The sequence below is a fragment of the Homo sapiens genome, chromosome 5, assembly GCF_000001405.40.
Source record: "Homo sapiens chromosome 5, GRCh38.p14 Primary Assembly".
Classification (NCBI taxonomy): Eukaryota; Metazoa; Chordata; class Mammalia; order Primates; family Hominidae; genus Homo; species Homo sapiens.
In genome coordinates, this window is record NC_000005.10 from 44,231,050 (window position 1) to 44,242,038 (window position 10,989).

The window sequence follows — 10,989 nt, forward strand, 5'->3', positions numbered from 1 at the left end:
AGATATAACCCAGAGCTGAAGACATGGGAATGGCTTTGAAATAAATTCTATGATAAAAGTGTTAGGGAGGTTTATTAGTTTTCTATTGCTGAGTAACAATTACCACAAACTTAGTGGTTTAAAACAACACCGTTTATTGACATACAGTTAGCATGGATCAGGAGTCCAGACATGGCTTAAGTGGGTCCTCTGCTCAGGGGCTCACAAGGCTGTTATAAAGATGTCACCAGGCTACATTTTCAACTGGAGGCTTCACTAGGGAAGAACCCACTTCCAAGTTCATTCAGGTTGTTGGCAGAATTCCTTTCTTCGTGGTTGTGTCACTGAAGGCCTTATTGCTTACCAGCTACTTAAAAAAGGTAGCTGGTAGCTTTTAAGGTAGCTTTATCACAATTTTAAGGCCTGAGAGCATAGGGGTTGCCTGCGGTTCTGTGGTCATGTGACCTTTTCCACAGACAGTTCACAAGACAGTGTTTCTCAAAGGATCCAGAAGAATCTCTTAAATTCTTGTCTGCTAAGACAGAGTTTTATACAATGCAACATAATTATACAAGTAACATCCGCCGAGTGTGGTGGCTCACACCTGTAATCCCAACACTTTGGGAGGCTGAGGTGGGTGGATCACCTGAGGTCAGGAGTTTGAGACAAGGCTGGCCAACCTGGGAAGACCCCTTCTCTACCAAAAACACAAAAAATTAGCCAGGCGTGGTGGAGCACACCTGTAATTCCAGCTACTCGGGAGGCTGAAGCAGAAGAATCACTTGAACTTGGGAGGCAGAGGTTGCAGTGAGCCGAGATTGTGCCACTGCATTCCAGCCTGGGCAACAGAGTGAAACTCCATCTCAAAAAAAAAAAAAAAAAAAAGAAGTGACATCCATCGACTTTGCCATAAATAAAACCTACTCAAGGGAGTGACATCCTTTCACTTTTGCCATATTTCATTGGTTGGAAGCAAGTCACAGGTTGTGTCTACACTGGAGGTGAGTGGATTACACACAGGTGTGACTCACTGGGCAGTGGCAGTGGGGGTGGGGGTCCCTTTAGAGCCTATCTACTACAGGAGGCACTTTAGAGCAGTTCGGAACACTTTAGAACTCCTTTAGAGAGGGCTCAGTGTGGCTGGGCCCAGCGAGTTGCTGTTACACACATGTACAACATTCAAAGTTCTAGAATAGAAGCAGAGAAATCGGAAAATATGGTCCTCTCCTCATGGTGGAGTTGGCTATGAAAGTTCAGCAAAAAGACAAGAGTGCAGAAATATCAGAACTGTGATGAAGAACATCTTTGAATATTTTAGCATGTGACTCAGACTGTTAGGGAGGCAAAAGAGGTCAGAAGGAAATTGGTTGTCTTAGACGATGAAAATTTATTAAAGTACTGAAGGTACCAAAGAGCCACAAGATTTTATTCATTTACTCAGTAGGAATTTATTCTTGGGCATACAGAAATGTGGCAGAAAGACATGGTGATGGTAACATCCATCAACTTTGGCACCAGATAGTCTGAGTTTAAATCCTTTTTATCTATTTACTAGCCATGTAGCAATGGCTAAGTTACATAATCTAGGTGACTCAGTTTCCTCTTTATAAAACAGTGGAAATAATATCTTACAATTTGGTTAATGTGAAGAATGGGTTCCTGGCACATCGTAAGAAGCATGATAGCACTATGTTTATATGTTAACAGTTACATTGATGAAATAAACAAGATTAACAAGATAACAGTCTGTATATCTAAGTTGTATATTGCCTTCTGGGAGAAAAAGATATAGAAAAAGTAATTATAATACCATGTGGCAAAGAAAGCAAATGCATCAGTATGGATATGCTATGATTTATTGCTGTCGAAAACAACCCCCAGATCATAGTGGGTTATAATTTATTTCTTATTTAAGTGACAAGTCCACTGAGGATTAGATAGGGGCTCTGTTGATTATAGTCATTCAGAGATTCAGGTTAATTGTCTGCCTCGACAGATGCTTTCTCAAACATTGAGACAGAGGAAGACAATGTGGCAAATCACATACAAATTCCTAAAATGTCTACTTAGAAATAACATGTCACCTTTGCTCATTTATTAAGCCACAAGTCATATGGCTGCTCTAACTTTAAGTGGGAAGAGGAAGTGCAAGTTTAGAATGTGACCCTCTGAAAGACTAGAAATATTTGGTGGACTGAACTGATGTCGACCACAGTCTTTCCTCTAGCTCTCCATATTGGGAAAAGCCTCCTTCCTACATATACAAAACTCTCCCTTCTCAAAGAAGATAATTTAAAAATTGTACCTAATAACTGCACCTAGCTCAAAGGCCAGGATGTCTGAGTGGTGCCTGACTAGGATGCAGCTCCCGTTTCTCCAGATACCTTAACACTAAAATGATCACTTATGTGCTTCTTTGAAACTCCCAGTGTGTACAATGGTGTCTAGAGATAGCATAACCATAATAAACTCACTCTACTATTCAGAAACAAAAAACAGGAGACATACAGCAGGTGGACATACACAGGTAACATTTGTGAAATCTTACTGGATACTTGTTGGGTGGGAGCTCCCTACCCTGATGATGGAAAACATTTCATAATTAGGCCCAGATTCTGCCTCTTGAAGGGAGTTTCCTATTACATTGTTCTCTGTGGTTTTTAGGTGATCCCTCTGAAAGTTTCTTTATTTTATCCTCTTTTGCCACATCTAAAGTGGGCATTAGAAAATATGCCGTCCTTATGGGCTGAATTGTTTTCTCAGCTTAGTTATTGCCTGTAGACTACTGGGAGACGAGTGCTTTGTTTCTAATAGTTGCATTCTCTCAGGATGATGGTTCTTTTTGGCAGTGCAACTCTCAAAAACTTAGTTGCCTATTTGCTTCTAGTTAGCTCCATGTGTCAATTGCCACACTCAAAATTCCTTTCTAGATAGAATTCTCACATGCTGAATTTCTTTGCTTCATTCACAAGCCTCTTTCTAGATTTCAATGCAAGTACTCTGAGCCTAGCCAGCTTTGGTAGGATAGTCACAAATAAGCTAATTTTTTTTCTTGTTAAAAAGACCCTTACTCTCAGACTATTTGATCCACCCAGAGATTTGAACAGTGGGTAGGATGAAAATGTTTTTGAGTTGACCCTTGGGAAATAGGGCTTAAATATTGTCTCAGTTTAGCTTTATACGTTACAGGTTGGAATTGAAAAGTAGTTGTTTCTGAATTTCTGTACTATATTCCTCTTCCATGTTGCTTCCCATTAGGCAGCAGAGGGTCACAGGCTGACTTCCTATCATCTAGAACATTCTTCTCCACATTTTCTTTCTTCTTATCTTGGCAGGAATAACTATTCTTTTTCCAAATACAGGATCCAAATGTTTAAAATAAAAAAAGGAAATAAATTAAGCTGATCTGCCTTTGTAGAAGTAGAGGAGGAAATGTTCAATTCCCAGGTGGAAAGAAGAAGTCTCCAATGGAGAGTTTAAAAACCACCGATCTGGAAGACTTAAGTCCAAGTGCTTAAGAGAGCATATAAAGCCCTCAAGAATATGTCACCTACCTTATCCTTTATGGACTTGTATATGATTATTTTGTGCCCCTAAATTTATAAGCTGACAACTGGAAGCTGTTTTTAGAGGTTCACATTATGATTTCTCTCACATTGCTTATTCAGTGTACCTGTCTGGAAATCTTCTCACAGTTGCCCTTTAACTCCAACTCAGTCTAAGGACCTCATAGGCTTCCTCGTCTCCTGAAGGTTGGGAAAAGGTCCACTTTTCCGTATTTCTGCATATCAGTATCACACTTTCTCTCAAAGGTTGTCAGCAAAGTGATTGTGTATTATTTTGGTATAATACACACTAATTTTGTACTATTTTGATAATATTTTGCATTTTTTATATTATTTTGGTATTTTGTAATTTTTTGTATTATTTTGATAACAAATAATTTTGTATTACTTGATACAGTACACAATCGCATAATTTTATTATATTTGATATAAGTATGATAAAATAAGTATGTTTAAAAGATTAAACATATAAAAGAGTTAATTAAAACTATAAGCAAAGAACAAGACACTATAAAAATGAAATTACCATAGTTGAAAAAACTAGACACAGTTAAAAAAAGAATTAGTAAGTTGACAAAATTCCAAAAGATGCAGCACAATGAAATAAAAAGTTCAAAAATATGGTTAAAACATATTAAGAATAGAACTAAAAGATCCAACAGTCAACTAACAAAAGCACCTGAAGAAAAGACAAAAGGCTTTGGTGAGAAGCAGTGAGTGAAAATACAATGACTATAATCAGATATAATTTCTCAGATTAAGGAAATACAAGTCTGAACCAGAATGAATATAAGTAAATCCCTAATAGCAATTCTAAACTTGCTATGAAACTATGTAACATCCAAGAAACTGGTAAAGAGTCAAGTAAATTTCAATACACATTAATTAAACAAAACAATGAATAATAATAAAAATGGACAATTTGATGGTGTAAAAAGAAAGTTCGTAAAATTGTGGATAGCAGTAATGTGTCACATGGGAAGAAGTGAATGAAGGCAGATCTCCGAATCTTTATTAAAAGAACAGCAGTGTTGACTGACTTTGACCATTATAAGTCAGTATGCGTGATATGATTGTAAGAGAAACAATTTAAAAATTGGTCATTGTAATTTCCAAATTAGTAGAGGATATAAAAATGAAAAAGGGAAATTCAATTCAACAGAAGGAAAAAAAGAAATAAAAAACAAGCAAAAAAAAAAACACAGTAAGAGAGCAAAACAAAATAGTGGCAGAAAGTTCAGGTTATAAATAATTTCAATAAACATAAAAGTACTGAATTTCTTCAGCTAAAAGTGTTTAGATTGGATTTTTTTTTAAAAAAAAGCCTTTCCTTCTTTCTTTATAATTAAATCCTAAAGTCACCAGATTGTCAATTAATACTGGTGTCTAAAAAAAAAAAAAATCAACCAGCTAAGTTCAAAAAAGAGAGGCATATGCACTGTGTATGTATGTGTATGTGTGTGTGTTTATGGGGGGAAATGGTTAGTATTAGACCCCAAACAGAATAACTAGGACATCTGCAAAGAGGGGCAGAGCAGACGGCCTGGTGTGGGGCCTCAGAGCTTGAGTAGGGGAAAGACTACCTGCATCAGGTGGCAGAGATGATGGCAAGAGTAGCAGCCTTGCATGGAGTGGTGAAACCTGTTGGGTCATGTTGGTGACCGCATAGTGGAAGCAGTGGTGGTGGTCTGACATGGTCATCAGGGACTGAGCAAGTTAAAAAGAGTGTTGAGTGTCTACATAGGTGTCAGGCCTCTGAGCCCAAGCCAAGCCATCGCATCCCCTGTGACCTGCACGTATATGCCCAGATGGCCTGAAGTAACTAAAGAATCACAAAAGAAGTGAATATGCCCTGCCCCACCTTAACTGATGACATTCCACCACAAAAGAAGTGTAAATGGCCGGTCCTTGCCTTAACTGATGACATGACCTTGTGAAAGTCCTTTTCCTGGCTCATCCTGGCTCAAAAAGCACCCCCACTGAGCACCTTGTGACCCCCACTCCTGCCCACTGAGCACCTTGCAACCCCCACTCCTGCCCACTGAGCACCTTGCAACCCCCACTCCTACCCGCCAGAGAACAAACCCCCTTTGACTGTAATTTTCCTTTACCTACCCAAATCCTATAAAACGGCCCCACCCTTATCTCCCTTTGCTGACTCTCTTTTCGGACTCAGCCCGCTTGCACCCAGGTGAAATAAACAGCCATGTTGCTCACACAAAGCCTGTTTGGTGGTCTTTTCACACGGACGCTCATGAAAATAGGGGGAGGTGTGTTTGCAGCAGCAGCAATTGGAATTTGTTTTCATACAAGGAAACGATCTGGTGAAAGATCATATCAAGGATAATGGGTGTCATGAACTAACTGTTTGCATCTCCCTCAAATTCACGTATTGAGTCCTAACCTCCAATGCGATGGTATTTGGAGACAGGGACTTTGGGAAGAAAACTAGGATTAGATGGGGTATGGAGATCAAGGCCCTCATGATGGGATTATTGTAGTTATAAGAAGAGACACTAGAGCGTTCTCTCTCTCTCTCTCTGCAAGCCAGGAAGAAAGATCTCATCAGGAATCGAATAGGCTGGCAGCTTGATCTTAGATTTTCCAGCATCTAGAATTGTGAGAAAATAAATTTATGTTGTTTATGCAACCCAGGATATGGTATTTTGTTATGGCAGTCCAAGCAGACAAACACAATGGGAGTCATATTTCTCACTGTAGTAAAAGGGGGTTACAAATATGGAAATAAAAAAAACTGGAATTAATCCTATGGTATTGCACTGAAATCAGAGACATTGGTATTAACTCATTTTTTAAAAACATATACATAGATAGTTGAGTAAAACATACACATAGATGTAAACGTGTATTTACATATATGCCCTGGTTATGTCCATTGAGAGACCCGAGTAATCACAATACCAATGTGCACACTGATCTTCATTTCTAAATATAATTCTCAGCCATAAGGAACTAGGGCTCCTTGGAGAAATGGCTGGTTCCAATGCTTGGGCAGGCAAAGTACAAGATGAGCATGGAAAATGTTATTGTACCAGAAAGTGAGGAAGTATTCAGAAAATGATGTACAAAATTGGCTTGAAGAGGCCCACATTAGACAAACATTGGAATCATTTGTACATCAAAATAATGACAGTAATAGATTATAACCTGGTGATTAAATTGTTATTTCTTCATACAGTTATAAATAAACAAATGCATAAATAAATGGAGACAAAAGAAAGCTTTTTGTTACAACAGAAAGCCAATTAATAAGTGTAGATGGAATGATGGAATGAAAAATTATTATTTGGCAACCATCTTACCAATAATTCAGTCATAAAGACATCAATGGATGGGAAAACTAGTGACAGAAAATTTGACAAGGAATGGAGTATTTACTTAGTCTCAAAGATTTGTTAATTGCAAAGGGAAAAACAACTTTATAGGAAAGAAACTTAGAAGACATCACATTTATCAAGTGATAAAAGTTAACACAACTAGTAGTAGGCCAAATTGAAATTGCATACCATCTGGTAAAACAATGAGAACACAGCATCACTTCTGTGATATTCCTCCAATAAATATATATAACCCGAATTTAATAATGAAGGAATATCAGACAAATAAAAGCTTAATAACATTCTACAAAATAGTGTTATTTTGGAAAGTGTCAACGTCATGAATGTCAAGGAGAGTCTGAGGAACTATTTCAGATTGAAGGAGAAAAGCAGAGGTTAATATAAAATATAGCTGAGGACAGGATAATTTTGCTATAGAAAACATTATTGAAAAAAACTGAAATTTTAATGGTAGTCTGTGGATTATATCATAGCCATCTGTCTATTCTAATTTCCTGATTTAAATGGCAGTATTATGTTTATGTAGGTAAATATTCTAGGAATTACACATAAATATTCTGGGGTGATGGGGCATGATCTCTCCAATTTACTCTTTAATCATTCAGAAAAAAATTCTGAGTATAGTTCTAAATTTTCCATTAAAATATTAAAATATTTCAAGATAAAAATTTTAAAAATCCAGCTATATGATGATTACAGGAGACATACTTAAAACATAATAAAAGACTGTGTGGAGTGGGGGTAGAGAAAGATATAGAAGGAAGATGTTAATCAAAAGAAATCTGATGTAGCAACGTAGCATAAAACACAATTGTAAACAGTTCATTCTTCAACAGTGAATCAAAATGGATATTTACAAGGGAACAATAATATCAAAACCTATAGGATGCAAATAAAAGAGTGCTTACAGAGTAATCTGTAGTCTGCAAAACCATATGTTAAGAAAAAAAATTTTAATGGCTCTTCTTAAACTAAAAAACTAAGGAAACATCTAATAAATAAAATAAAGCTGAATAAAGAAAATTATAGGAATATTTTACGAAATAAAAAGTACCCAAGTATAAGAATAAAGAAAATCAACCAAAAGACAGTTCTTTAAATATATTGGTAGAATATATTTACTATAGTAAGAACAACGAACTAAAAAAAACTCCTAAATTGTTGCGGGAAGTCAGGGACCCCAAACGGAGGGACCAGCTGAAGCCATGAGAGAAGAATGTGGATTGTGAATATTTTATGGACATTTATTAGTTCCCCAAATTAATACTTTTGTAATTTCTTATGCCTGTCTTTACTGCAATCTCTAAACATAAATTGTAAAGATTTCATGGACACTTATCACTTCCCTAATCAATATCCTTGTGATTTCCTATGCCTGTCTTTGCTTTAATCTCTTAATCCTGTCAGCCGAGAAGGATGTATATCATCTCAGGACCCTGTAATAATTGCATTAAGTACACAAATTGTACAGCATGTGTGTTTGAGCAATATGAAATGTGGGCACCCTGAAAAAAAGAACGGGATAACAGCAATTGTTCAGGGAATAAGAGAGATAACCTTAAACTCTGACCGCCGGTGAGCCGGGCAGAACAGAGCCATATTTCTCTTCTTTCAAAAGCAAATGGGAGAAATATCGCTGAATTCCGTCCCTGAGAAAGAGAATGCGCACCTAGGGGTAGGTCTCTGAACTGGCCCCCCCGGGGCATACCTGTCTCTTATGGTCGAGATTGCAGAGGTGAAATAAACTCCAGTCTCCCATAGCGCTCCCAGGCTTATTAGGAAGAGGAAATTCCCGACTAATAAACTTTGGTCAGACCGGTTGATCTCAAAACCCTGTCTCCTGATAAGATGTTATCAATGACAATGGTGCCAAAACTTCATTAGCAATTTTAATTTCACCTCGGTCCTGTGGTCCTGTGATCTCGCCCTGTCTCCACTTGCCTTGTGATATTCTATTACCCTGTTAAGTACTTGATGTCTGTCACCCACACCTATTTGTATACTCCCTCCCCTTTTGAAACTCCCTAATAAAAACTTGCTGGTTTTTGTGGCTTGTGGGGCATCATGGATCCTACCAATGTGTGATGTCTCCCCAGGACGCCCAGCTTTAAAATTTCTCTTTTGTACTCTGTCCTTTTATTTCTCAAGCCAGTCGAAGCTTAGGAAAATAGAAAAGAACCTACGTGATTATCGGGGCAGGTCCCCCGATATCCCAGCATTGTTAGGAATTGTATTAGTCAGGGTTCTTTAGAGGGACAGAACTAATGGAATAGATATGTAATATTTAAAGGGGAAGTTTATTAAGTATTAACTCACATGATCACAATGTCCCACAATGGGCCATCTGCAGGCTGAGGAGCAAGAAGAACCAGTCCAGGTTCCAAAACTGAAAAACTTTGGAGTCCGATGTTTGAGGGCAGGAAGCATCCAGCATGGGAGAACAATGTAGGCTGGAGGCTAAGCAGTGCCTCTCTTTTCACTTTTCTCTTCCTGCTTATATTCTAGCCATGCTGGCAGGTGATTAGCTTTTGCCTACCCACATTGAGGGTGAGTGTTCCTTTCCCAGCCCACTAACTCAAATGTTAATCTCCTTTGGCAACACCCTCACAGACACACCCAGGATCAATACTTTGCCTCCTTCAATCCAATCATGTTGACACACATTATTAACCATCACAGGAATGAAAAAGGGAAAACTACAGACACATAGAAACTGAACAAATCATAAGTTAATTCTATGGAAAACTTTAGAGACTAGTTTGCTAAAATGGACAATTTTCTAGACAAATATAACTTAACAAACGTAATCTATCTATAAATCAATTGAAGTAATCAAACCAGTAGTTTTTAAACCTTCCATCAAGAAGGTATCATACGATGAGAATTTTAGAGGAATAGCTAGGTCAGATAATTTCCACCTTCTATGAATTTTCCACGTACTAGAAAAGGCCGGGAGGCTCCCTAGCTCACTGTATGTGGCTGTATTGGAAGCTTGCTCTAAAGCTACCCTATGTCCTCTCTCCCCTCCACCTCACCTTTAATTTCTAATTGATCTCATATCACCATGAATTCCCCTATTAATATGATCTGACAGTTGCAATTTTTACTTCAACTCAACAATACTTATTGAGTAGCCTATTACATTCAAGGTCCTATGATAGTTTTGGGAATAAAAGAGATATCTACATAGCAGATTGGCTGCTAGGTTGATGCAGTTAAAGCCTCAGTCTTAGGTGAAAACAGTTGGGAATTTTACAAATCCCTAAATCAGCAACTCATTTTTATTTTACTCCTTCTTGCCTTTTCCCAAATATTTTGAACTTTTTTGTAGATAGTGTTTTAAGTGCAAAACAAATGACAAAGACCCACACAAGAGATAAAAATGGCAAACTAATTGCAGTTGTATGGCATGAAACAACACAATCCTAAGGAAAAAAAGCATCATTGAAAGTTAAATGACCACGTTTATGCATGTAGCTCCTGAGTTACTTAAGGCAAATCACTTGGTCCTTCTGTGCCTCAATGCAAACAGAACTACAGCTACCTCTCCAGCTGGTTTTGCAGTGTTGCTGAGAAGTAAATGTAATAAAATTAAATAACAGAGCTGAAATCCCTTGAAGGGTATAATATAAATAAAAGTGAGTTATTATCATCTTCATCACCATCATTAATATGTAGTACATAAGAGGCATTTCCATTTAAAAATGAATTGTGAGAGATTTTTGAAAACAAGTTGGGTATAAGTTCATAGGGAAAATGATTTTTCAGGGAAGTATTATTATATCTTTTCCAATTTGCATATTCCATAGTGTACAATTCCACAATGCTATGGCCTTCTAAATTCTGACTACAATTCACATATATTTTGATTCAATATACAAAATACACACACACACAACCATATGTATCATATGATATATGAATAAAAGGTCTCACAAAACAGTATTTACCTTTTCAATATTAAGTCAAGTTTGATATTTTCTATTTCACTCTGCTATATTCCATATAATTCTATTTTATCTCATTTTTAAAAAATGTATTTATCCTACGACTCCAGTTTGAAAACTGGTATTTCAGTATATATC

At 37.2% G+C, this 10,989-nt stretch overlaps 1 annotated feature.

Moving 5' to 3' along the window:
* Nucleotides 5,185-5,705: an enhancer, noted in NCBI's record as "OCT4-NANOG-H3K27ac hESC enhancer chr5:44236336-44236856 (GRCh37/hg19 assembly coordinates)". NCBI's record gives its function as "activates a minimal SCP1, AML or CMV promoter by ChIP-STARR-seq in naive and primed H9 embryonic stem cells {active_cell/tissue: H9 hESC(naive and primed)}" and the evidence as "EXISTENCE:reporter gene assay evidence [ECO:0000049][PMID:30033119]".